This window comes from Homo sapiens, chromosome 16 (assembly GCF_000001405.40).
Source record: "Homo sapiens chromosome 16, GRCh38.p14 Primary Assembly".
Lineage (NCBI taxonomy): Eukaryota > Metazoa > Chordata > Mammalia > Primates > Hominidae > Homo > Homo sapiens.
This window is the reverse complement of record NC_000016.10, coordinates 49,372,324-49,400,220: the sequence shown is the minus strand read 5'-3', so window position 1 is coordinate 49,400,220 and position 27,897 is coordinate 49,372,324. Positions and strand designations below refer to the sequence as shown.

Genomic DNA, 27,897 nt, shown 5'->3' with positions numbered 1-27,897 from the left:
CCTGCTCAGCACATACTGTCATTAAACCCATTCTACAGGCGAGGAAACAGAGGCACAGAAAGGTAAAGTAACTTTCCTAAAGTCACACAGCTATTAAGTAGGACACGTGGGATTCAGACTTGCTTGAAACACTTGCAGGGACTGGAAGGGCCTGAGTTTGTGACCTTGGTTGGCCAGCATACCCAGATGGGAAGGCTGTGTCTCAAAAAATTCCTGCAGGATTGGCCACAGTCATGCAAGAAAGCAGGGCAGGAGACTTGGGGAAGATACTGTTTTCATCTCAACCCTGCCGTTTCTCATCTATGTAACTCTGAGCAAGTTTCTTGCCCTCTGTGGCTTCTTTTATTCAAATGAATAAGGTCCTGGACTTGCTGATGTTGAGGCACCTACCAGCTCTGAAAGGTTTCAGGTCCCCTTTTGGGGTCTGTGGTTGTAAGCACACAAAGGTCTCCTTCCTTGCCTCCATATGTTGATAGCATTTCCCTCTCTCACTGCCCCAATCAGTCCCCCACTCTGCACACAAGGAAGCCAAGTCCCCACAAAGCCAAGTCGTGCCATGGGCGTGGGGCATGTGTGTGTGTTCTCAACCAGCCCCTTTACACTTCGTGCTTTCTAATGTCCCTCTGAGGACCCTGGACCCCTCCCACTTTTTTTTTTTTTTTTTTTACTCCTAAGCCTTCCTTCCTAAGAAGCCCTTTCTAAGGACTCTTCTTTTGGTCAGGAGAAAAACCAGTTTCTCCTATGCTGGTTCTGACTCGGATGTCAAGGACCAGTCTTACGGAAGCACAATGATCACACAGCCGAGGCTTGTTTTCTGATTGCTTACTTTCTAAAGGGATGCACTAAGTTGGAAGGACCACTTGTAGTGTGCCAGAGGATGGCATCTGGAGGTGAAGGGTCCCATGACAGAAGGAGCCTGAAGGTGGTGGCGAGAGGAGCTATTTAGAGGGCCATGCTGGGTATTCCGGTGAACACCTTTTTAGCATCTATGTCCTCTTCGACCATGTGGGGGTGGATATCCACATTCATTCCTGCATCCTTGCACAACTTGAGCAAGGTCCGAATGTTCTCCTTGGATAACCTCAGGTATCTGTTCAAGAGAAGGCAAAAGAGGTCAGTTGAAGGTGGAGTCACAGCAGCTTCTAACTTTATTGAAAAGAGCTTAGATTTGAGCAGCAGTAAGTGTGGGTGCTCTGCAAGGGGCTGTCTCTCCCAGTCATCCATGGAGCTGATAGAGACCTTATAAGACAGTGGGACACCCCACAAAGGCGGCGGGAGTTTGCGTTTGTGTAACTCTTTTGGCAGTCGGTTGACTCCAGAGAAAAAACATTCATTATCTTTGACTCAGTAACCCCACTCAGGTCCTCGATATATCCCAAGAAGAGGAGTCAATGGAAAGAAAAGCTATATAAATAAAAGATGTTCATTTTGGGATTGTCAACAACAGGAAAATGAGTAAATCCACCAACAGAGAATTGGTCAATCTGATAATGGACTACCTCATGTCAAGGATCTTAATTAAAAGGCCACAGTTAGAATGGCATTAGGAAGAAGATGGTGCCACGTGGCTGTGACAATACCAAGTGGGGAGAAAAGACAGAATGTGAATTGTTACGTGATTTGTCACTGTCATGCGCACATACACTGAGAGAGGTCATGGGCCGGGAAAGATACAGACAGTGGAAATAATCGCTGAGCAATGTTGCAGGCATAGCGGTGAGCATTTGTTTTTAATAATATCCACACAATTTAAAAATCAGACCATTGATTTAGAATATTAGCTAGAGCCCCATAATTCTGATACTGAAGAATGGGATCAATCCCATTTGTACTGTGTGATCCAGAGAGCTCCTTGTTCTACCAGCAACTCTGACCTTGGTCCCAGCTTTAGTATAGGGTGTAGGCCCCCTACTCAGGCTGCCTGCTGGTTGCTTACTTTGCCACAGACTATGGGAGAGGAGCTGTGTGTTGATATAATGTGATTTTCTGCCTGTTAGGAATGGCCACTGTTCTTTAAGATCTTCCCAGAGCCTACCTGTTCTTATGGCCAGCTCAGACCCCCTCACCAATCCCCACACTTGGACTACTTTTTCCCTGATCAGCCTAGCCTCTGAGGGTCTCATGCATATGTATATGGGGACACCCATTACGGTCTCATCCAAGTGCTGTGGCTCACATCTGTAATCCAGCACTTTGGGAGGCCAAGGAAGGTGAACCACCTGAGAATAGGAGTTCAAGACCAGCCTGGGAAACATGGCAAAACCCCATCTCTACTAAAAATACAAACATTAGCTGGGTGTGGTGGTGCATGCCTATAATCCCAGCTACTCAGGAGGCTGAGGCACGAGAGTGGCTTGAACCTGGGAGGTGGAGGTTGCAGTGAGCCGAGATCACATCACTGCACTCCAGCCTGGGCGACAGAGAGAGGCTGTCTCAATAATAATAATAAATCCCACTCTGAACCACTTCATTCTTTTCTTGGATGTTTCTTGAATGGCTTCATATGCTACCTCTTCAAATATTCTTTCCCTCTCTTTGGAGGGCAGGAGTCCTGTCCAAATCTCTTTCCCCCCACCATGGAACCCGGGTAGGCTGTCTGTTGCCCAGAGTCAATTAGAACCACATGGCCCATCTGAAAGCCAGGGCCAAAGTCATCCACCCATGGAACCAGCCAGCAAAGGCAGTCTGCTGAGATCTCTCCCTGTTCATCTGGAAGCCAGTTAACCATTCTATTCATCCATCCTTCTGCCAGTCAGTGAGCAGAGCAGGACTTTGTGATGGAGTTATTAGATTGCCAGACATTTGAGGCCATCTTAAACCTATAGATGAGTTTACTGATGTCAACCTTACAAGGATGATGACAACTACATTACTCTGTTGTTTTGTTTCCTTATTTGCTAAAGTTTCTGAACTTTGTCAGTTACAACTTTACAGTAAAGGAAAACACTGGGCTAGGGAGAGGGATGCTTGTTTTTTGATGGGGGAATCTGGGGTCCATTGCTGAAAACCAGAGAGCCCTGATAAACAGGACAGAGAGCAAATGAGAAGGGAGACTCTTTGGGAAGAGCAGTAAATATCAAATGGTTTCACACTTTGTTCATGATCCCTTTGACAGTCTAAAAGTCCAAACATGCAGCAGGTAGGTCACTGAGGATGGTGGCTACCATCACCAGCAACTCAACCCCACAGTGCAAAGGATCGTAGGGAAATCTTCCTATTAAGACAAAGCCACATTCTTTCCTTTTTGAGTAATATTGAAACAAACGGAAATATTGGGAGGGTTGTTGAAAGGTGTGGCATCAAAGTGGCAGCACCTAAATGACATGCCCATTCAGGGGATGGTCTACCAGCAGGTGAGCTGCTGGAAACCCACTGGCTTGAGCCCTGGAGCAGTCCTTTGGGACCAAAGGGCGGAGCTCAGCCACACCAAGCCCCTACTCCTAGATCTTCAGGCTAAGCCAAGGTGTTTGAGCCAGGGACAAGAGTGAGCAAAGCCTGTTCCAGGACCCCACCCCATCTGCCCAGGGGGTGGCAGCTCTCACCGGCAGCTCAGCACCTCCTCTGGCTTCAACATCCTCATGGTTTCCATCTTAGGTTCGGTGCTTTTCTCCATGAGGCTCTTTAGCTTGCGTTCGTAAGCCATGTCAGGCATCTTGTTGGACCAGTCTCTTATGAAGGTTGCCCTCTGGCTGTTAAAGGTACCCTCCTGTAACATGGGATCTAAGACAATGCTTTGTCGACGGAATGGGTTTGGCCGCTGAGTGGACTCTGGGTCGACTGCATCCTTGATGTCTGTATCTGAAATTGGACAGATGCCATCAAAGAGTTAGACCGTGGGAGACGTGAGAGGTGGGGTAGGCAGGAAGGGGATGAAGGCTGGAGGAATGCATGGACTTCAAACCGTACCTGTTCTGAGATATGAGGTCTTTTCGTGGCTTCCACAGGTTCTCTATACCCCTTCTCCCCTTTCTTTTTTTGAGACTGAGTTTCCTCACTCTGTGGCCCAGGCTGGACACAGTGACACAATCATACCTCACTGCAGCCTCTATCTCACAGGTTCAAGTGATCCTCCTGCTTCACCCTCCCGAGTAGCTGGGCCTATAGGCACATGCCTCCACTCCTGATAAATTTTTATATTTTTGTGGAGCTAGGGTTTTGCCATGTTGCCCAGGCTGGTCTTGAACTCCTGGGCTCAAATGGTCCACCTGCCTCAGCCTCCCAAAGTGCTGGGATTACAGGCATGAGCCACCGTGCCTAGCCCAGGTTCTCCTTCTTTATTTGTTCAATCCTTTTACCCCTCCCTCCTTTCTCCCTGCCCTGTTCCGACTCCCTTCCTTTCCCTCCTTCCCCCTTTCTGCTTATTTCAATCTGTTCTCTCCATCCTCCCCAGCAGGAATTCCCCTAAGTGGAATGAGCCTAGAGGAGGTAGCCTAGAGGATATCTTCTGATATCCCAGGGAAGGTATCAGAAGAGAAAAGCTTTGAGCTGGGTTTAAAAGGGCGAATCGTTGATCAGTTAGAAAAGGAAGGAAAGGATCGCAGGCAGAGGAACAGAATGTGTGAAGGCACAAATACACGAAATGTAATGGTAAGTGTCTGATGTGACCCAAATATGGGGTTTGTACCAAACAAAATGTTGTTGGACTTGCAGGGGTGCCCAATATTTTGGCTTCCCTGGGCCACATTGGAAGAAGAAGAATTTTACTGGGCCACACCTAAAATCTGCTAACACTAATGATAGCTGATGAGAAAAAAAAAATCGCAAAAAAAAATCTCATGATGTTTTAAGAAAGTTTACAAATTTATGTTGAGCCACATTCAAATCCGTCCTGGGTCCCATGTGGCCAGCCTGAAGGTTGGACTAGAGCTTGGACACCTTAATATTTTTTTCTTGCTAAATTTCCTTCTAAGTGTTTTATGTATTTTTACTCAGGAGGATGGAATATTCTCTACTCATTTCCATTTCTAACTGGTATGACAAGTATGTAGAGAAAAGTCTACTGTTTTTTAAAAACTATATTTGTCAGCTGGGCATGCTGGCTCATGTCTATAATCCCAGCACTTTGAGAGGTGAGGCAGGTGGACCATTTGAGCCCAGGAGTTCAAGATCAGCCTGGGCAACATGGATTGAGGCCAGAAGTTCAAGACTAACAAAGTGAGACTCCATCTCTAACAACAACAAAAAAAAATTAGGGGTCTGGTGGCACATGCCTGTCATCCTAGCTACTTGGGAGGTTGAGGTGGGAGGATTGCTCGAGCCCAGGAGGTCAAGGCTGCGGTGAGCTATGATCACACCACTGCACTTCAGCCTGGGTGACAGAGTAAGACCCTGTCTCAAAAACAAACAAACAAACAAGCAAACAAAAAACTATAGTTGTCTAGTATACCAGCAACCACAGTAAATTTTATTACTTTTTAACTAGAATTTCATGAGTTTTGCAGATATACAATCATATTAGGGGAAAAAATGAACATATCATTTCTCCAATATTTATCAAAATTATATATTATTTTTAATATATATTACATTTGACAGACCCTCTAGAACATTGCCAATAATGATGATAGGGATTATGCCTCATTTTTTTCCTGATTTTAAGTAATTTGGGCATTGCATCATTTAGAATGATATTTGCCCCTATTTGGGATACATGTTTTATAATATTTTAGTGGTTTTATCCCTGGTTGACATAGAGTTTTCACTGGTGATAATTGCTTGATTCTATTCATTGCTTTTTTTTTGCCATCAACTGATATAATCACATTTTTTCCTTTAATATGTTGATGTAATAAATTGTGTTCTTAGATATCCTGATAATGAACCACTTCTCACCTGCTGTAATAAAGCCCACTTGTTCATGGTGGAATTCATTTCAGACATTGTACATTTGATGTATTTTCATACATTGAGTATGTTTGCTAAAAATTTTTAGATTTTCGCATTTATATTATTGGCCAACTTTTTTGGTATAACTTTTAATATTAAAGTTCTGCATTAATTTAATAGCTTTTTAAATTAATGCAGAAATGTCTATATTTTATACAGTCTGTAATAGTTGAAGTAACATTAGAATTATTTGCTCTTTAAATGTTAAAACCTTGCATGAAACCATTTGTCTTAGTGCCATTTTTTAGTGGGAAAATGTTAATTATTTTTCAACCTTCACTGCAGAAATTGCCCTATTCAATTTTTCTGCTCTATATTGTACCAATTTTGATAATATATAGTATAATAGAAAATCATCCATTTCCTTTAGGTTTTAAAATGTATTGTATAGAGGTATAGTATTCTATTACAATTCTTTTATTTTATTTGCATCCTTTCTCACATAAAATCTTGTGTATTTTTACTCTTCTTTTTAACAAGGCTTATGATTACTTCATAGCAATTGCTTTCATGTCACTTGCTTTTTCAAAAAGCTAGCTTTATATTTAGCCTTTTAACAACTTTTGATCTTGATATTATTCATTAATCCCAGCCAGTATTTAATATATTAATTTTCTCTTTTTCATAGTAATTCTTTCTTCTACTTATTAAACTAATAAAAGTGTTGGCATTTTCTTTTATTATGTGTTTTATAAAGAATTATTACTTTTAGTTTTTACTGTAAATTTTCTTCTGAGCATATGTTTTGCCTATGTCTCATAGGTTTTGGTATGAAACAGGCTTATTTCGTTATTTATTTTCTTTGATACAAGGGTAATTTGGAAGTGTGTTTCTTAATTTCCAATTTTTAAAGTTGAGGGTTATTTCTAATTGTTGGTTTAGGGTGATGTAGGTAGCCCTAAAATCTTTACTTTTTTGAATGTTAATTTTTTTTATGACAAAGCACACAGGTGATTTTTGTAAATATTGTTTGGATATATAAAGATACATGTTCTCTATTCAGATGTAAAGCTACAGTTTGTTAACTGCATTGTTACATTCTTCTATGTATTTCCTGTTATTGTCTATATGATCTTCTATTTGGTTCTGAAGGAGGTGTATTAAAATTTACCCCTATAGTGGGGAGAATGGGAGGGAGATGTGGGTTGGAAGGCTATGTATCGGGTTACTATGCTGTATGAGTCTGTTCTCATGCTGCTAATAAAGATGTACCCGAGACTGGGTAATTTATAAAGGAAAGAGGTTTAATTGACTCACAGTTCCACATGGCTGGGGAGGCCTCACAATCATGGCAGAAGAGCAAGGGACATCTTACATGGCAGCACGCAAGAATAACTTGTGCAGGGGAACTCCCATTTACAAAACCATCAGATCTCATGAGACTTATTCACTATCATGAGGACAGCATGGGAAACACCTGCCTCCATGATTCAATTACTTCCCACCAGTTTCTCTCACAATACCTGGGAATTGTGGGAACTACAATTCAAGATGAGGTTTGGGTGGGGACACAGTCAAACCATATCATATGCTCACTACTTGGGTGATAGCATCATTTATACACCAGGCATCAGCGACACAGAATTTACCCATGTAACAAACCCGCACATGTACTCCTAGAACCTAAAAGTCGAAATAAAATAAAATGTACCACTATAACTGTATGTTTAGCAGGTTCTCCCTAGATTTCTAAATGTTTTGTTTTATTTATTTACCTACTATTTACCTACTACATTTTTTGATGCATGTAGGTTTATGGTTATTAGTTATTCTCTTTAACATTTAAAAAGATCCCTCTTTTACTCTATGTGTTTCTTTTAGCCTCAATTCTAACTCATCTACTTGCGTTTCCTTGTTGTTTCTTTGCTTTTCCTTTTGTCATAAACTTTTCTATCTCACCTGGTTTTAAATGTGTATCTAGATTTTATTTTAAATTACTTCCTAATATGTTGCTTCTAGTCTCTCCTAGAGAATTTTCTGCAGATGAAGGAATGTATGGCTGATAAAAATCCCTAAATATTTCTGAATCTACAAATATAAGTCATTCATTTGATAGTGACTTATGTGAGTTGGGGTCAGTATTATGGGGGTCTTTACTCTTAGTAATGCATATGTGCTATTCCACTTCCAGGTTGATGGCAGGCTGATTTTTTTCCCCTTGTAAGTAAATTATTCTGTCTGTAAGCTTGTAAGATTTCATCAACAAAGTTTGGGAATTTTATCAGGATATTCCTAGTGGAAATGCGTCTAGACCTCCTGCAATTACATAAATGCAGAGACAGTGGCCTGAGGTGTGGGTGTGACCTGCCCAAGGTGTCACAATGAGTTAGTGGCTGAATTAGGACTCTTTATGGTACATGGTGCTCTGGCATGGTAGCTGGTCCTTGACAGGGTGATAAGGTCAGGTGGCCTCAGCAGTCCCTGTTTGTGCGTGGAGGAAATTGGCGCTATGCTCTGGGAGGATCATGAGCTGCACATTCTCTTTGACACAAATAAGGAAATTCCTTGGAGAAAGGGCAATCACCTTTCCTGAAATATCTGATCCTCTTCCATGCAAGGTGGGTCTCATGAAGGAAGGAGCGATAGCAATATAAAAAGTAATGACAATTACACAGATTAGCTAACATGTGTTGAGTGACTCACATACCAGGCAGTGTTCAAGGGCTTTCTGGCAGTGGGGGCACTTTAGTCTCACAACCACATCATATCCATTTGACAAAGGAGAACATTGAGGATCAGAGGGATTAGGTAATGTGCTCAAGATGCCACAGATTATTAGTGGTGAACCGAGGACATGAGCCCACATTGTCAGAGCCTTTTTCTGGAAGCCTGTCCTGGCCACTCTTTTGGACAAAAATGACCCACATTCCTGGGTTTGTGGCTGAAGAGATAGGTTATATTTCTAGTGAGCCATGTTTGGGACACCAGAAGCTCACTCTGTGCTCGCGGAGACAAAAGGGGGTATGGCCTTCTAGCCCTGTGCATTAGGAATGTATCCTTGGCCTGGCATCTACACAATATTCTGGACATAGGTGCCCAGGGAGGGAATTCCCTTTCCAGTCTACTACTCAGACTTTGCCAAGATTTACTTTGGCAAGGTGTTACAGTTGTTTTCCCAGGATCTTTTCCTGGCTCATAGCCAGAGCAACCTTTCTAAAATTTAAATTCAATTTGGTAATTTCCTTCATAAAACTTTTCAGTGACTTGCTATTGCACTCAATAAGGTTTATGTTTTGGAAAGGCCAATCTGAGACTTCTGCCTTCAGCCAAGATGGGGTAGCAGGGATTCAATTTATCCTTTCACCTTAAGCAATTAAAAAATTGGGCATGTCATATGAAATAGCGGTTTTAAGACATCGGACAACACACAACACAGGGAAGTGATCCTTGAGTGAGGGGAAAGAAATGAGAGGAGCCCCATGATTGCCCCAACCTTCATTTGGAAGATGCTTCCAAGTTGCAGCACGGGGTTGCAGGGAAGCCTAGGCAAAGGCAGAGCCTAGCAGTCCCCTTGAGTTGGGGAGAGAAACCAGATAATTTAGGTTAAACCATAAGAGGTAGAACAGGAGGAAAAAGCTGCACCAAGAACTGCAAAGTTATGCAAAGATTCCTCTCAGCTGAGGACTAATCGGCACAAGCCGGAAAAGAAAGTACTCTAGTGAAAGAATTAGTAGACAAGAACATGGCAACAGCTAGTATGACATACTCTTGTTATGCCCTCCAAGGCAGGGTCACATTAAGAAGAGACACAGAAGATTTAAAATGACCCAAATTGAAGTTCTCGAGATGAAAATAACAATATTTGAAATAAAAATTATATTGGATGGGATTAACAGAAGATTAGGTATTGGAGAAGAAAAGATTAGTGGACTTGAAGCTATACCACAAGAAACTATATGAGATGAAACACAAAGAGAAAAGACTGAAAGATGAAGAAAAACACAAGATGAATTTTGGGACTCTAAATATGTGTAATCAGGGTGCCTGAAAGAGAGGGGAGAGAATGGAGAAATGAAATAAATTTGTGAACAAATAATGTCCAAAAATTTGTCAAATTTGATGAAAACTGTAAACCAAGAATTTCAACAAACCCCAAATACAAACCCAAGAAATATTAAGCAAATGACACTGAGGCACATCATAAGCTCCTTTCTTAAAAGAAAATCTTAGAAGCCAGAGGAAAAAGATACATTACAGAGGAACAAAAATTAGGAAGAGAGCCAGCTTCCCATTGCAAACAAGCTAGAGGACAGTACAGCAACCTTTAAAGTATTGGAAGAAGAAAGGTTGACAATCTAAAATTCTACACTCAGCAAAACTGTCTCTCAGAAACAAAAGTGAAATAAAGACCTTTCTGGATATACAAAAGCTATATGAATTTATTACCAACAAAGCCACACCACAAGATACGTTAAAGAAAAATCTTCAGGTAGAAGGAAAATTATTCCACACAGAAATCTGGATCCAATGAAGAGCACTGGAAATGTTAAATATGTGAGTAAACACAAAAGTCTCTTGAAAACATAATTGCTTGGGGCAAAAATCATAACACTTGCGGGGTTTATAATATGGAAAAATATAATGTGTGGCAACAACAGCATGTAGAAGGGGAAAGGAGAAATGGAAGTATACTCTGATAAGGCTCTTATGTTTACATAAAATGAAGATAGACTGTGCTAGTTTAAAGAGGTATACTACACACTGTAACAGAATCACTAAAATTATTATTATTACTTTTTAATACAGAGTCTCGCCCTGTCACCCAGGCTGGAGTGCGGTGGTGCAATCTTGGCTCACTGCAGCTTCCGCTTCCCAGGTCCAAGTGATTCTCCTGCCTCAGCCTCCTGAGTAGCTGGGATTACAGGTGTGTGTCACCACGCTTGGCTAATTTTTGTATTTTTTTTTTTTTGAGATGGAGTCTTGCTCTGTTGCCCAGGCTGGAGTACAATGTCACGACCTCGGCTCACTGTAACCTCTGCCTCCTGGGTTCAAGTGATTCTCCTGCCTCAGCCTAGCCTCCTGTAGCTGGGACTACAGGCATGTGCCACTATGCCTGGCTAATTTTTGTATTTTTAGTAGAGACGGGGTTTTGCCATGTTGGCCAAGCTGGTCTCGAACTCCTAACCTCAAGTGATCCACCCACCTCCGTCTCCCAAAGTGCTAGGATTACAGGCGTGAGCCACCGAACCAGGCTGCAACAAAGAGTTATAACTAGGAAGCTAATGAAGGAGATGAAATGGAATCATAAACAATATTTGGTCTAAAAGAGGGCAGGAAAAGAAGAAAGAGAAAGCAAAGAATAGATGGAACAAGTTAGAAACGCACGTGAAGATATGTGTTAATTTCCACATATTTTTAGATTTTCTAATTTTTCTCATGTTATTGATTTTTTGTTTTATACCTTTGCGGTAAGAAAAGATAGTTAATATAATTCTAGTCCTCTTGAATTTGTTAAGATGTGTTTTGTGCAGTGCAATAAAATTAGAAATCAAGACCAAGAAAATCACTCAAAACCATACAATTTTGCTGGGCACAAGGGGTGCCTATAATTCCAGCACTTTGGAAGGCCAAGTTAGGCACATTGCTTGAGCTCAGGAGTTTAAGACCAGCCTGGATAACATGTCAAAACCTCGTCTCTACAAAAAAAATACAAAAATTTGCTGGCCATGGTGGCGTGCACCTGTAATCCCAGCTACTTGAGGGGCTGAGGTGGGAGGATTGCTTGAGCATGGGAGGTCGAGGCTGTAGTGAGCCATGATCCTGCCACTGCACTCCAGCCTGGATAACAAAGTGAGACCTTGTGTTAGGAAGAAAAACCCCATACGATTTCATGGAAATTAAATAGCCTGCTCCTGAATGACTTTTGGGTAAATAATGAAATTAAGGCAGAAATCAAGAAGTTATTTGAAACAGATGAAAATAAAGATACAATATACCAGAATCTCTGGGACACAGCTAAGGCAGTGTTCAGAGGGAAATTTATATCACTGAACACTCACATCAAAAAGTTAGAGAAATCTCAACTTACCAACCTAACATCACAACTAAAAGAACTAGAGAACCAAGAGCAAACCAACCCCAAAACTAGCAGAAAACAAGAAATAACCAAAATCAGAGCTGAACTGAAGGAGATTGAGACACACACAAAAAACCATTTGCAAGATCAAGGAATCCAGGAGTTGTGGGTTTTTAAAAAAAAATTTTTTTTTCTTAATAGAGACAGGATCTCACTATGTTGTCCAGGCTGGTCTTGAACTCCTAGGCTCAAGGCATCTGCCTGTCTCGGCCTCCCAAATTGCTGGGATTACAGGTGTGAGCCACCACAGCTGGCCTGGTTTTTTGAAAGAATTAATAAAACAAATAGACTGCTAGCTAGACTAATAAAGAAGAAAAGAGACAGGATCCAAATAGACATAATTAAAAACTACAAAGGAGATATTACCACTGACCCCACAGAAATACAAATAACCATCAGAGAATATTATGAAAACCTCTCTGTACATAAGCTAGAAAAAATGGATAAATTACTGGACACATACACCCTCTCAAGACTGAACTGAACCAGGAAGAAACTGAATCCCTGAACAGACTAATAATGAGCTCCAAAATTGAATCAGTAATTAACCTACCAACTACAACGACAACAACAACAAAAGCCCAGGACCAGACAGATTCACAGCCAAATTCTACAAGATGTACAAAGAAGAGCTGGTACCATTCCTACTAAAACTATTCCAACAAATTGAGGAGGAGGGACTCCTCCCTAACTCATTCTATGAGGTCAGCATCATGCTGATACCAAAACATGGCAGGGACACAACAAAAAAAGAAAATGTCAGGCCAGTTCCTTGAACATTAATGCAAAAAGCCTCAACAAAATGCTGACAAACCAAATCTGCACAAGAGAAGAAACTATCAACAGAGTTAACAGACAACCTACAGAATAGAAGAAAAAAATTTCAAACTATGCATCTGACAAAGGTCTAATATCCAGCACCTATAAAAAACTTAAACTTACAAGAAAGAAACGACAACAACAACAACAAAAGTGGGCAAAGGACATGAAAAGACACTTTTCAAAAGAAGACATACATACATGCAGCCAACAAGCATATGGAAAAAAAAACCTCAATAGCCCTGATCATTAGAGAAATGCAAATCAAAACCACAATGAGATACCATCTCACACCAGTCAGAATGGCTATTATTAAAAAGTCAAAAAATAACAGATGCTGGTAAGGTTGTGGAGAAAAGGGAACACTTATGCACTGCTAATCAGAGTGTAAATTGGTTCAACCATTGTGGAAAGCAGTGTGGTGATTCCTCAAAGAACTAAAAGTAGAACTATCATTCAACCCAGCAATCCCATGACTAGGTATATACCCAAGGGAATATAAATCATTTTACCATAAAGACACATGCACACATATGTTCACTGCAGCATTATTCACAAAAGCAAAGCATGGAATCAACTTAAACGCCCATTGATGGTAGGCTGAATAAAGAAAATATGGTACATATACACCATGGAATACTATGCAGCCATAAAAAGAACAAGACCATATTCTTTGCAAGAACATGGATGGAGCAGGAGGCCATTATCCTTAGAAAATTGATGCAGAAACAGAAAACCAAAGACTGCATGCTCTCACTAATAAGTGGGAGACAAATGATGAGAACACATGGCCACATAGAGGGGAACAAAGGAAACTGGGGCCTACCTGAGGGTGGAGGGTGGGAGGAGGAAGAGGATCAGGAAAAATGACTAATGGGTACTAGGTTTAACAACACCTGGGTGATGAAATAATCTCTACAACAAACACCCATGACATGAATTTACCTATGTAACAAATCTGCACATGTACCACTGCACTTAAAAAAAAATGACTTGTGGTCCCACATATGATCACTTCTGTAGAATATTCTACATACATTTGAGAAGAATCTGTATTTTGATGGAATGTGTAAACATATGTTAGGTCCATTTGGTCTATAGTTTTGTTCAAATCTGCTGTTTTCCTTATTAATTTTCTGCCTGCATGACCTACCCAATGTTGAGAGTGAAGTGTTAAAGTCCCCTACTATTATTGTATTGCTGTTTATTTCTCCTTTCAGTTCTGTTAATTTTTTTTATATATTTAGATACTCTGATGTTGAGTGAATAAATATTTCAGTTGTTATGTCTTCTTGATGAATCAATCCCTTGTTATATGACAAGCTTCTTTTTTTCTTGTGACAGTTTCTGACTTAAAATCTGATATAAGTATAGCCACCGATGCTCTCCTTAGGTTACCATTTGCATGGAATATCTTTTCCAATTCCTTCTCTTTCAGGCTGTGTGTGTCCTTAAAGCTAAAGTGAGTCTCTCATGGGCAGCGTATAGTTGGATCTTGTTTTTATTAAATTCATTCAGCCAGTCTATGTCTTTCAATTGGAGCATTTAATCCATTTATATTTAAAGTAATTATCAATAGGTAAAAACTTACTGTCATTTTGGTCATTGTTTTTTGACTGCTTTGTAGTTTCTTTGTTTCTTTTTTTCTCTCTTGATGTCTTCTTTTGTGATTTAATGACTTTTTGGAGCGGTATGTTTTTATTTATTTTCCTTTTATTTATTTGCTACAGGTTTGTTTTCTGTGGTTACCATAAGGCTTGTACAAAACATTTTTTTTTTTTTTTTGAGATGGAGTCTCACTCTGTCACCCAGGCTGGAGTGCAATGGCATGATCTCGGCTCACTGCAACCTCTGCCTCCCAGGTTCAAGTAATTCTCCTGCCTCAGACTCCCGAGTAGCTGAGGCGCATGCCACCAAGTCTGGCTAGATTTTGTATTATTAGTAGAGACGAGGTTTCACCATATTGGCCAGGCTGGTCCTGACCTCGTGATCCAACCACTCGGCCTCCCAAAGTGTTGGGATTATAGGCATGAGCCACTGTGCCTGGCCATAAAACATTTTATAGTTATAACATTCTATTTTAAACTGGTAACAACTTAACTTAGATCATATACTAAAACTATACTTTCACACTCCACATGCCATTTTAGGTTATTGATAAAACAATATATATACATATATTTTGTATTGTGTATCCACTAACAAATTATTATAGTTATAGTTAATTTTAATACATTTGTTTTTTAGCTTTTATACTAGAGTTGAAAGTCATTCATACATCACCATTACCATATTAGAAAATTTGAAATTTGACTATATATGTATCTTTACTAGTTAATTTTATACATTCATGTGTTTTACATTGTTAATTAGTGTCCTTTTATTTCAGCTTGAGGAACTCACTTTATGATTTCTTATAAGGCAGGTTCAATGGTGATGAAAACTCTCACTCTTTGTTTGGGAAAGTCCTTTCCTCTTATTTCTAAAAGACAGCTTTATCAGGTATAATATCCTTGGTTGGCAGTTGTTTTCTTTCAATATTTTAAATATTCATTCCATTTTCTCCTGATGTGCAAGGTTTCTGCTGAGAAGTCTACTCATAGTCTTGTGGGGGTTTCCTTGTATATGACAAGTAGCTTTTCTTCTGCTGCTTTCAAAATTCTTTCATTGTCTTTGACTTTTGACAATTTAGCTATAATATGTCTTGGTACAGACCTTTTTGTGTTCAACCTATTTGGGAATGATTGGGCCTCATGAATCTTAATGTACATCTCTTTCCTCAAATTTGGGAACTTTGCAGCCATTATTTCTTTCAATACATTTTATCACTCTATTCTCCTTCTTAGACTCCCATAATATGTATTGTTTCACTTGCCAGTGTACCATAAGTCTGTTGGCTTTCTTTATTATTTTTCATTCCTTTTTTTTTTACTCCTCAGACTGAATAATTTCAAATGACATGTCTTTAAATTCACTGATTCTTCTGTTGGATTGAGTCTGCCATTGAAGTGCTCTATTGAGTTTTTCAATTCAGACATCTTGTTCTTCAGCTCCAGGAATTAGTTTTCTGCTTTTTTTTTTTTTTTTTTTTTTGATGGAGTTTTGCTCTTGTTGCCCAGGCTGGAGTGCAATGGCACTATCTCGGCTCACTGCAACCTCTGCCTCCTGGGTTCAAGTGATTCTCCTGCCTCAGCCTCCTGAGTAGCTGGGATTACAGGCACGCACCACCACAACCAGCTAACTTTGTATTTTTAGTAAAGATGGGGTTTCTCCACGTTGTTCAGGCTGGTCTCGAACTCCCTACCTCAGGTGATCCACCTGCCTTGGCCTCCCAAAGTGCTGGTATTAAAGGTGTGAGCCACCGTGCCTGGCCTTTTTTGGCTTTTAAAAAATGGTTTATATTCCATTGCTGAATTCATTTTGTCCAAATATTGTTTTCCTATTTCATTTAGTTGTTTGTTTCCTTGTAGCTCGGTGAATGTCCTTAAGAGGATTATTCTGAATTATTTGTCAGTCAATTCATAGAGCTGCATTGCTGTAGAATCAGTTATTGGAGCTTTATTAATTTATTTTAGTGGTGTAATGAAGAAACTCAACGTATTTGTTTATTTGTAGATGGGGGTCTCACTATGTTGCCTAGGCTGTTCTCAAACTTATGGCCTCAAGTGATTCCCTTGCCTTGGCCTCCGAAAGTTCTGAGATTACAAGCATGAGCCACATTGCCTGATCCAAAGCTCACTTTAAATATAAAGACATAAATAACTGAGGAAGGCCAATGTGGCAGTCATAGAAGTTGAAAGCAACTGGTGATTCTTATAGTGGATGAGGATCACAGTTAAGCTAAGACACTGGTTGTGGAAATGGAGAAGAGAAAGAGATTAAAGATATTAAGGAGGCAGAAGCTACAGGACCCAGTAACTGGTCATGAAGGGAGAGTGAGGCAGAAGTGGTAGGATAGACTCTGACATCCAACTTCCACATTGAGATAGGACCATTTCCTGGGAGGGTGCATGTAATGTAATGCAATCGGGATGTGCTTTGACTATGGCAACCCAAGCTAACATTGGGCATGGTGTATGTGACTATCTTTAGGCCCTTCATAGGTGCTGCTTTGTTTTGAATTTGTCTGCCAATTCAGATCATACCCATTCATTTTAGTCCTCTTGCCAGTCTACATGAGAGGCTCTCCTTACTGTGCCCAGGCTCAGCCCTGACTAGGTCCTGGGTGCCACATCTTGAGGCCCAGACTGTTCCTAGATGCCTCTGAGCACCTTTTGCACTTGGGCTGGCCCATTTGCAACCACACCACCCACTGGCCATTGGTCTTATTACATCAGGAGAGACAAGGCTTCTTCATTCTCCAATAGAGTGGATTCGACTTGAATGGTGGAAAGAAGGGAACTGCAGGGAACCAAATGAGTGTCAAGTCAGCCTGACCTGCTGGCATCCTTGTGCAGTGAGATGTAAATAATTATTTAATCAGCTGGTATGGGTTTCTTTTAGGGAGTGAATTGTTTAAGAAAATGTCTTAATAGACTACTTTGAGTGTGAAACAGACAAATGAAACATGGTTCTCTTCAAGTAAAAAGCCAATGGGAAAGTGTTAGGTGGAGAAGGAAGACGAGGGAGGAAAGAGAAGAGGAAAGAGATAGGAAGAGGGAGAACTGAGCAGTACCAGGACTCGGGTGAGGAAAGCAAGGTGTCCAGGATGCAAAATTTAAGGAGGTGTTCACTCTCAGACTCACACAAGTGCATGATTCGCATCTGAGAGTGAGTGCTTCCTTAAATTTGGTGGCCTGAACTCCTGGTTCGCCTCACCTTACCCAGTCTTGGAGTTGAGAAAAATATCAGGGGGCTACTTCCTGCAAAGACATGTAACTAGGGAAAAATCTCGTGGTGGCAGGGGATAAAGGACTTTGAAGAACAAGGGAGTCTAATAATCAATCTCTAATTTGTTTGCTGTATAATTCTGTGATGTAATTCTTTTTTTTAAATTTATTTATTTATTTATTTATTTATTTTATTATTATACTTTAAGTTTTAGGGTACATGTGCACATTGTGCAGGTTAGTTACTTACGTATACATGTGCCATGCTGGTGCGCTGCACCTACTAACTCGTCATCTAGCATTAGGTATATCTCCTAATGCTATCCCTCTCCACTCCCCCCACCCCACAACAGTCCCCAGAGTGTGACGTTCCCCTTCCTGTGTCCATGTGATCTCGTTGTTCAATTCCCACCTATGAGTGAGAATATGCGGTGTTTGGTTTTTTGTTCTTGCGATAGTTTACTGAGAATGATGATTTCCAATTTCATCCATGTCCCTAGAAAGGACATGAACTCATCATTTTTTATGGCTGCATAGTATTCCATTGTGTGTATGTGCCACATTTTCTTAATCCAGTCTATCATTGTTGGACATTTGGGTTGGTTCCAAGTCTTTGCTATTGTGAATAATGCCGCAATAAACATATGTGTGCATGTGTCTTTATAGCAGCATGATTTATAGTCCTTTGGGTATATACCCAGTAATGGGATGGCTGGGTCAAATGGTATTTCTAGTTCTAGATCCCTGAGGAATCACCACACTGACTTCCACAATGGTTGGACTAGTTTACAGTCCCACCAGCAGTGTAAAAGTGTTCCTATTTCTCCACATCCTCTCCAGCACCTGTTGTTTCCTGACTTTTTAATGATTGCCATTCTAACTGGTGTGAGATGGTATCTCATTGTGGTTTTGATTTGCATTTCTCTGATGGCCAGTGATGATGAGCATTTTTTCATGTGTTTTTTGGCTGCATAAATGTCTTCTTTTGAGAAGTGTCTGTTCATGTCCTTTGCCCACTTTTTGATGGGGTTGTTTGTTTTTTCTTGTAAATTTGTTTGAGTTCATTGTAGATTCTGGATATTAGCCCTTTGTCAGATGAGTAGGTTGCGAAAATTTTCTTCCATTTTGTAGGTTGCCTGTTCACTCTGATGGTAGTTTCTTTTGCTGTGCACAGACAAACAGAGAGCCAAATCATGAGTGAACTCCCATTCACAATTGCTTCAAAGAGAATAAAATATCTAGGAATCCAACTTACAAAGGATGTGAAGGACCTCTTCAAGGAGAACTACAAACCACTGCTCAACGAAATAAAAGAGGATACAAACAAATGGAAGAACATTCCATGCTCATGGGTAGGAAGAATCAATATTGTGAAAATGGCCATACTGCCCAAGGTAAATTACAGATTCAATGCCATCCCCATCAAGCTACCAATGCCTTTCTTCACACAATTGGAAAAAACTACTTTAAAGTTCATATGGAACCAAAAAACAGCTCGCATCGCCAAGTCAATCCTAAGCCAAAAGAACAAAGCTGGAGGCATCACACTACCTGACTTCAAACTATACTACAAGGCTACAGTAACCAAAACAGCATGGTACTGGTACCAAAACAGAGATATAGATCAATGGAACAGAACAGAGCCCTCAGAAATAATGCCGCATATCTACAACTATCTGATCTTTGACAAATCTGAGAAAAACAAGCAATGGGGAAAGGATTCCCTATTTAATAAATGGTGCTGGGAAAACTGGCTTGCCATATGTAGAAAGCTGAAACTGGATCCCTTCCTTACACCTTATACAAAAATCAATTCAAGATGGATTAAAGACTTAAACGTTAGACCTAAAACCATAAAAACCCTAGAAGAAAACTTAGGCATTACCATTCAGGACATAGGCATGGGCAAGGACTTCATGTCTAAAACACCAAAAGCAATGGCAACAGAAGCCAAAATTGACAAATGGGATCTAATTAAACTAAAGATGTAATTCTTTCCCTCTGTTGACCCCAAGCCTTCAGTAGAATGTATTTACACACAATGACTTCGTGTGAGAGGTTTCAGGAGAAATCAAAGAGACAAGATAGCAGCCACTGGAAGCAAGATTTACAGAAGCTCCAGGGCCCAACAGGACCAGGATTTTGGAGCCAGACATTACACTGGTAGTCACAGAAAATTCGGGGAAGGTATGGGGCTTCCCATAAGGCATAAGGCAATCTAGATTATTTTTTAAATAAACCTTAAATATTTTGGAATAATTGTGGTGTATTAATCAAGGTTCCATCGAGGGTCAGAACTAACAGGATAGATGTATATATGAAGGGGAGTTTATTAAGGAGTATTGACTCACATGATCACAAGGTGAGGTCCCACAGTAGGCCATCTGCAAGCTGAGGAGCAAGGAAGCCAGTCTGCGTCCCAAAACCTCAAAAGTAGGGAAGCCGACAGTGCAGCCTTCAGTCTGTGGCCAAAAGCCCGAGAGCCCCTGGCAAACCACTGATATAGAGTCAAGTGTCCAAAAGCTGAAGAATTTGGAGTCTGATGTTCAAGGGCAGGAAGCATCCAGCACAGGAGAAAGACGAAGGCCAGAGGACTCAGCAAGTCTGATCCTTCCAACTTCTGCCTGCTTTATTCTAGCTGTGCTGGCAGCTGATTAGATGGTGCCCACTCAGGTTGAGGGTGGGTCTGCCTCTCCCAGTCCACTGACTCAAATATTAATCTGCTTTGGCAACACCCTCACAGACACACCTAGGAACAATACTTTGCATTCTTCAATCCAATCAAGTTGACACTCAATATTAACCATCACATATGGATTTACAGAAATGTTGCAAAGAAAATAAGGAGGATTCCTGTATATCCTTCATCCATTTTCCCTTAATGTTAACATCTTACGTCCATGGCATGTTTGTCACGACTAAGAAATTAACATTTTTTTGTATATTATAGAACTTTTTCAGATTTCGCCAGTAATGCCCCTAAAGTGCTATTCTAGGATTTAATCTAGGATCCTAAACTGCACTGAAAGCCGACTGCATTTAAATCTTAAAGGGAAGTGACTGCAATTTGGTCACAATGGCTTTGGTATATTAAATGAAAAGGGGAAAAAAAGATTTTGTTGCTGTTGTTGGGTACAATGGGGGCAATTTTATATATGAGAATTGACCGCCTCTGCTTGAAGACTCCTGTGCACTTTTCTCCTGGGCTAATTGGAATCCCTTCCAGATTTCTCTTTTACCCTACACCTTTGTCCCAAGGGGCCAGACATAACAAATGTATCTGTTTTTCCAACACCACAGTAAAGACCACCTGAAATTTTAGCAAAATTTTTACTTAGAAAAAAACCACTAATATTTATTCAGCACCTCCTCTTGGTCAGGCTAATTACTTTTCATGCATCATCTTGCTTAAACCTCACAACCATACTATGAGGCAGGTATTGTTGTTGTCCCATTTTATAGATGAAAAACCAGACTCCAGAGATGGAATAAGTTGTCCAGGATTATACAACTCTGAGCTCCTTATAAAGTGGTAGAGCCAGGGTCAGGACCCAGGCAGTCTTTGAAATTGGGGATCTGGCACAGCCTAAGCTCATCCCTTCCTAGAGGTGAGCAACCCCTGGCAGGTTTCAGGCCAGCAGGAGTGGTACCTTCTGTAGTTGATATTGTCACAGTATCTAAATTAATTAGATGATTTGTAACTCATGAAGTTGATGTCACCAAAATAGCTTCAGGAACCTGGACACATGAGGCTGGTTTCCTGAGAAGGGAACACTCGAGATGGGGCAGGGCCTTGACAGACACTTGCCTCCTGTTCATGTCACACCCTGCTTGCCAAGAGCGACCCCAGGAGTGGTCCCTACTGAGCCTCCATGTGGGCTTCTGACTCCTGTGTGCACAATGGTTGGATTGACGTGGACGCTACTGCTCTAAGAATGGCGTGAGCTTTCGGTTTCTTCTAGAGGAGGAGATTATGGAGCAGGATTCTGGTGGCCGGGGCCAAGGTTTTTCCCTTACCAGATTTCTTGGGGCCATCCTTGATGTAGCTGCCAGGGACCATGCTGAGGTGTTTCCCCTTTTGCTCCACTCCATAGAGGCTTCGGTAGGAGGCGGCGTCCTTCCTGAATCTCTTTCCTAAGGCCTTGGAGGGAGCAGGTGAGAAGTCACACCCCAGTTACAGGACCTGGCTCGCCCTCCCCGCTCCATCCCAAGCAAACAGCAATTTCAAGGGTTTGCCAAAAGGCAGGCAAAGGCAACCAAGGAGAGAGCTTCCCCGGGCCCTGGGAGAGGTCGGAGGGGCAGGGTCTGCCCACGGGTGCTTGCTCACCAACGCCTCCCTCTTCTCCCCACCATATATCGGAGGGGTCCCTGGGGGCCTTGGAAACACAGGCCCTCGGAGGCCATTAGGTCTGGGTGGTTCTGCCCTGTTAGCTGTGTGGCCAGGAGGCTCTTGTCCCTCACTGAACCACGGTGTTCTCATCTTCCAAGTGGCCTTCTTGAATGGTTTCAGGGATAAATGTGGGCAAGGGAGGATGTGACACGTGTGAAGAATGAAACTACAGGGAGGCAGCAATTGGGTAGCACGGCTGGACAGGGTAGGGAGGGGTGGAGATTTTATTTGAGTGTTAATGTGGGGCCAGAGTGAATTTCGGAGCCTTGAAATTTAGAAAGTAGGCAGGCATTATGCAGGAGAGAAGCAGGGACCCCTCCTCCATTTGGAGACCCAGTGGGGGTGAGTGGGGGAAGAGGGGCTGCATTACCTGCTGGGAAGTCTCCGTGTCCCTGCGGTTCCCTCCCCGTGCTGTCATGAGGCCTTTGCCTTTCTTCTCTTCCTTCTTCTTATTTCGTTTAAGGACTGTCACCACTTTGGGCTTTTGCTTCTGAAAAGACAAGGGAAGAGAGCCCTGCAGCCACTGCTGTGGGGACAGCATCCCCTCCCTTTCCCCAAGGAGAAGGCTCCCAGGTGAGGGGCTGTCCCTCCCCTCCACAGGCTTCAGCACACACACTCTAGGGCCTGTCGTCACTGTTCCTCTGCTTCCAGATGCGCCCTGGTATACATGTCGCCGCCCCCAGAGCGACTTTCTGAGCCTCAGGCCTGGTCCTGTTCCTCTCCACCTCAGAATCCATCAGGGGCTCCCCATCACCCCCCACATAAGGGCCTCACTCCCTAGCCTGGTAGGAAGCCCCTCCAGCCCCCTTGTGGCCTTACCAGCTCAGACTTCCCTGCCCCTGCCTCCAGTGTGGAGTCACAGGAAGGCTGCCCTGACTTTGAACAGGTGCTGCTGATCCAGACCTCTGGGCCTTTGCTCACCCCGGCCTCTCCCTTGGTCCCGGAGCACCCCAGGCCCACCCCATCCTGTCTTCCTGGAGTGGTGGTCACCACTGACCTTGCCTTTCTATTTCCCCAGGTATTCCTTACCACCTGCCCAAGAGCTGAGCACACCCTGCCCTGAATGGAGTTCCCTGTGCATGGCACATTCCTGGCCCTCCTGCTCTCGCAGGGGAGGCAGGGAGGGCAGGGTCATTAGGGATCTCCAGGGTCCCACAGTCCAGGAGCCCAGCAGAAGCACTTAAAGGGTGGGCCACCCAGGAAGCATTCTGCCTAGTCTATAAGGGTTAGGGGTGGGTGCCAGAGCATCATGGCAGAAACTAAATAGACTGGATCTCCTCTGGGAATATGCTGCTTATGGTTACAGGGAGACGGTGGCCTGGACTGCAGTGTCCAGGTCAGACTGCCTGGATTCCTGCTCTATCCACGGCTGAGGGCTGAGTGACCTCGGCAAGTTTCTGCTCTCTCTGTGGCTTAGTTTCCTTGTCTGAAAGGTGGGGATAATAGTAGGACCTACTTCATAAGGTTACTGAGAGCAATAACTGAATTACGACATGCATGTGCAATGCCCTCCATGAATTATGGGAGGCAGGTTATTATGCGGGGTGGGTGGAAGGGAAGTTTCGATAAGCCATTTGGGAGTATGGAAGGAAGCTGTCCAAGGGCCTGCTCCATGTTGCAAGTTGCCTTCTAAGGAAGGTAACGCTGGTTAGCTTTAGGGTTTTGTTTGGTTTAGTGGAGAAACAGTGCAACTCAGAGCCAAGGCTGCATTTTCAGGCTGTGAGGAGCTAGGATGACCCATCTCCTCCAGGGCAGCCCCTTCCACCATCCCCCACTCAATCCTCAGCCTCCCTCAAAGAGTCACCTGAGTAGCTCCCCACACAGCCCCCATTTTGGGGAAGCTGAGCGGAATTGACATGGCGATGCTTTAGACTCAAGGAAACTGCAACATTCAAGGATTCAGCATCCTCCATGGCTGAGACTTCAGACCTCAGGGGTCTTCGCTGATGCCAAATGGATCACAAGGGGGAAATACCATGAGCAGTCTGTTGGGGGAAGAGCCTGGATGGCCAGGTCAGACCCCAGGAGAGAACAGAGGAGGTCACAGAGGGCCCTGAGTGGTGAAGATAGACCCCAACCATCTCACCAGAGGGTCCCCCATCACCTGCTGCTGTCGGAGACCTGCCAGCACACATCATCTTCCTCTTAGAAGCTTCTTTAAAAGCCCAGATGCTTCTGGGAAAGGTAATGATGCTTGAAGACTTAATTATATTTCCCATGTAAACTTGCTCCCTCTCTAGGTCCAAAGTTATTTACAATAAAAGCCACATTTAAGGTAAAGTTGTTAAAATGTGATTATTAGAATCTTATCCTGGTAAAAGGAGATAGACCTGAACATATTAACCAGGGAAGTGAATGTAATTCCTGTGATGATATTAAATTGAGTTTGGAGAGACCCAGAAGTCAAGCTTCCCCTTCGCCCCCAAATCAAGGCAGTGGGTAGGCTATCTGTAAATCATTAGCACCTTAGAGTAAAATATGTTTGTCAGATGTGTCTGATGGAATTGGCACTCGAGATCTTTCTGACTATAAATGGTAAGTGGTATGGTTTGGATCTGCGTCTCTCCCCAAATCTCATGTCAAGTTGTAATCTCCAGTGTTGGAGGTGGGGCCTGGTGGGAGGTGATTAGATCATAGGGGCACTTTCTCATGGTTTAACACGATTCCCCTTGGTACTGTCATGAAGGCGAGAGTTCTCGTGAGATCCAGTCATTTAAAAGTGTGTGTGGCACCTCGTCCTCCCACTTCTTGCTCTTGCCATGTGAAGTGCCTGCTCCTCTTTTGCCTTCTGCCATGATTGTAAGCTTCCTGAGACCTCCCCAGAAGTGGAATCTCCTATGCTTCTTGTACAGCCATGAGCCAATTAAACATTTTTTTTTATTTTTTTTTTAAATAAATGACCCAGTCTCAGGTATTTCTTTGTAGCAGTATGAGAATGGACTAATACAGTAAGTAAGCACACAAACATAATGGAAGCTTTCCCCAAAGGCAGGTGCTGACCTGGATAAAGCAGAGGAGTCTATGCATTTGGGAATTGGAAAACCTCAGTTTGAGCCCTGGCTCTGCCCTTTATTACTTCTGTGACTTCAATAAAATGACTTATTTTCACTTTCCTTATCCTTCAACTAGGGGTAAAAATGGTGCCTCCCTGGTAGCCTGACTGGGAGCAATTGACCACATAACCCAGGTACAAATCTAAGCACAGGGCCTTGACCACAGTAAACATTAAAAGTTAGTGATGTGTTGAGCATTGTTATTAGTAATGGCATTTTTTACTCATTTTGCTCTAGGGTCAGGAGATTCAAGACCAGGTGGCATCTTCTGCAGAGGACACCACTTTCCAAAGACATGGCTTGGTTCTTCATAGATGATAGGTCTTGGGGGAGCTCTGGGAAAAACTAAGGCAAACTTGGTTGCTACATTTCTTGGAGAAAGAGGAAAGGGTGGGTTAGAACTAGCTCGATGTAGGGTAGAAAAGAGGAGGTATGTTAGCTGGAGTTGCAGTTGCAGTAATGGCAGTGAGGAATGAATGTTCTTTGATTCTGAAGGCATCACAAGGAGAGAAGAGCTGAGGGCAGTAGGAGGATCCCATCCTGCAATATGGAGACCCAGAAGCCACTGCCCCTTGGCCCTTCTAGAATTCTGACCAATACTAACATTTGCCCAGCTTGACTAAACTTTAGACAGGTTTCTTCCTGATGATAGGCCCTTGGCCTCCTTTTCCTTAGAGCATTTCCTCTAGAAAACTTGGATTTGTAAATTTTTTCTCTGCCCCTTTGAGATGTAAATCTCTCAGTCTCTTGCTAGTTTTACAATCCAGGAATGTTTTTCTCAAGGACCTGGGAGGACCCTTTGAAATGTAATCATCAAGAAAGATTGTACCTTGTCTCTCAGTCTCTGTGAGAGGATGGGAGCCTAACATTTATAAGTGCGAATTAGCAACACAGACAGCCTAATCATATTAACTAATTCCCCCACCCCCTTAATGTCCTTGGGTAGTTCTCACTAGCTTATCCCAGCACTTCAAAACCATCCCGCCTTTTGTTTCAGGAGAGTTAAGTTCAATCTCTCTCCCCTACTGCAACTACCTTGAGTAAAGTCTTCCTGCCATTTCTCTTGGATGGTACCCACCTCGGGAGCTTGTTTCTTCTTCCCCTGCCTCCGCTCCAGCCACTCCAGCACACAGGTGAGGTCAGACATGCGCCTATCTTCAGCAGTCTTCCACATGTATTTCCTCTTTGTGGGCATTAAATCCTTCAGGTCCATTTGTTGCTCTGACATTGTGGAGTCTTGCTAGTGGCTTGGGTGGGAGGTGGCTGGCACTGTCTCACTCTTTCGATCCCTTTGTCTGGACTTGATGGCCTGGTGACTTAGAAGGTAGGGTGTGGCCTCCAGATGTGAACATAAAGGGCAGAGTGAGCCAAGACCCTGGGATATTGGCCTTAAAAGGTGGAAGGCCTGGGCAGTGATTGTGAAGTCATTGCCCGTCTTGGTAGCTGGCCCTGAGGTCAGAGTGGAGGTGGGACATTGGCCACCTCCCACTGTTCTCCATGTGGCCACTACCCCTCTTCAGGCGCTATGTCTCCTCTGGACTCTGCCACAGCCTCCTTGCAGCCTCTCCACCTCTACCTCCACAGAGATCTTAATAAAATAAAGGTCTGTCCACGCATCTTCCTTTCTCAAAAACCTTCAATGGCTCCTTGTTGCCTATCTAAAAGAAATCTGAATTCTTTAGTTTGGCATCCTATCTTTCTGTAGTGTACTCTAATTAGAAGAAAGCTTTTTATAAGCCCAATTCGTCTATATTCATTTATTCATCCAACATGTGGTTATCAGGCACCTACTAAGTATTGGGAATGGTGCTGGGGATACAATGCAGGAAAAAAACATAGGCAAACCTCCTAAGACATATGGGCTAGTGGAAAAGACAGGGCAGATAATTACCGTATGAATTCATAATGACAAGTGAAGATGAGTGCTTTCAAAGAAAGGAATGTAGTTCTATGAAAGGCCATATCAATGGTACTAGACTTGGATGGGGTGGTGGGTAGGCCACCTTTGAGCTCTGAGCTAAAGGATAAATAGACTTCAACAGGGCTGTTATGGTCTGGACATTTCTGTCCCTCCAAAATTCATGTGCTGAAATCCTAACCCCCAAGGTGATGGCATTAAAAGGTGGGGTCTTGGGAGGTAATTAGGTCATGAGAGCAGTTCTCTCATGATTGGAATTGGTGCCCTTGCAGAAGAGACTAGAGAGAGCTCCACCATGTGAAGATGTAGTGAGAAGGTGTCACCAGGAAATGGGTTCAGCAGACAACGGAATCTGTCAGAGCCTTAATTTTGGATTTCCTAGGCTTCAAAAATGTGATAAATGAATGTTTGTTGTTTATAAGCTACCCACTTTGTGGTATTTTGTCATAGGCCCAAATGGATTAAGATAAGGGCTTTGGACCAGAGAAATATGCCTGTGCAAAGGCCCTGTGACAAGCGGGAGGCATGGCACTAACAACAGAAGGCAAGGGTGACTAGAGTACCAGAGGCAAAGAGGCAATGGTACAGAGGTGGCCAGAGGCCAGGCCATCCAGGAACTTGGTAGCCACAGGTTCTGCTCAGACTGGGAAGGGAAAGGGAGCAAAGGAAAACAATAAAGGAATTCAAAAAAAGGGGAGGGAGTGGCATGGTCAGGCTTCCCTTTTTTGCTCTAGTAAACTTCTATTGAAGGAAATTATATATACAAAAATGTGCCAGAATCACAAATGAAGACATCTATGTAACCAGTACCCCAGAATCTTCCATACAGCCCCTGGTAGTTATTACCACCCTCCAAGGGTAAACATCATCTTATCATCCAATTTCTTTTTTTTTTTTTTTGAGACAGAGTCTCGCTCTGTCACCCA

At 42.5% G+C, this 27,897-nt stretch overlaps 1 protein-coding gene and 1 long non-coding RNA gene across 2 annotated transcripts in view, besides 2 other annotated features; one reads left to right on the top strand and one right to left on the bottom strand.

Moving 5' to 3' along the window:
• LOC105371244 (uncharacterized) overlaps nucleotides 1-27,897 on the top strand; it is an 81,768-nt gene extending 53,871 nt beyond the window's left edge. The window contains exon 8 of the long non-coding RNA XR_001752167.2: nucleotides 25,291-27,897. This is a non-coding gene — a long non-coding RNA (uncharacterized LOC105371244). The remainder of the gene's footprint in view (nucleotides 1-25,290) is intronic.
• On the bottom strand, nucleotides 790-26,417 carry C16orf78 (chromosome 16 open reading frame 78). The gene is made up of 5 exons (NM_144602.4): nucleotides 26,132-26,417; nucleotides 22,371-22,490; nucleotides 21,628-21,751; nucleotides 3,543-3,798; nucleotides 790-1,090 (listed from the first exon to the last, which is right to left on the bottom strand). Exons 1-5 carry the CDS (start codon nucleotides 26,279-26,281, stop codon nucleotides 943-945), a joined length of 798 nt encoding a protein of 265 aa, NP_653203.1. The 5' UTR covers nucleotides 26,282-26,417; the 3' UTR covers nucleotides 790-942.
• Nucleotides 25,503-26,233: an enhancer, noted in NCBI's record as "NANOG-H3K27ac-H3K4me1 hESC enhancer chr16:49407899-49408629 (GRCh37/hg19 assembly coordinates)". NCBI's record gives its function as "activates a minimal SCP1, AML or CMV promoter by ChIP-STARR-seq in naive H9 embryonic stem cells {active_cell/tissue: H9 hESC(naive)}" and the evidence as "EXISTENCE:reporter gene assay evidence [ECO:0000049][PMID:30033119]".
• Nucleotides 26,234-26,964: an enhancer, noted in NCBI's record as "NANOG-H3K27ac-H3K4me1 hESC enhancer chr16:49407168-49407898 (GRCh37/hg19 assembly coordinates)". NCBI's record gives its function as "activates a minimal SCP1, AML or CMV promoter by ChIP-STARR-seq in naive H9 embryonic stem cells {active_cell/tissue: H9 hESC(naive)}" and the evidence as "EXISTENCE:reporter gene assay evidence [ECO:0000049][PMID:30033119]".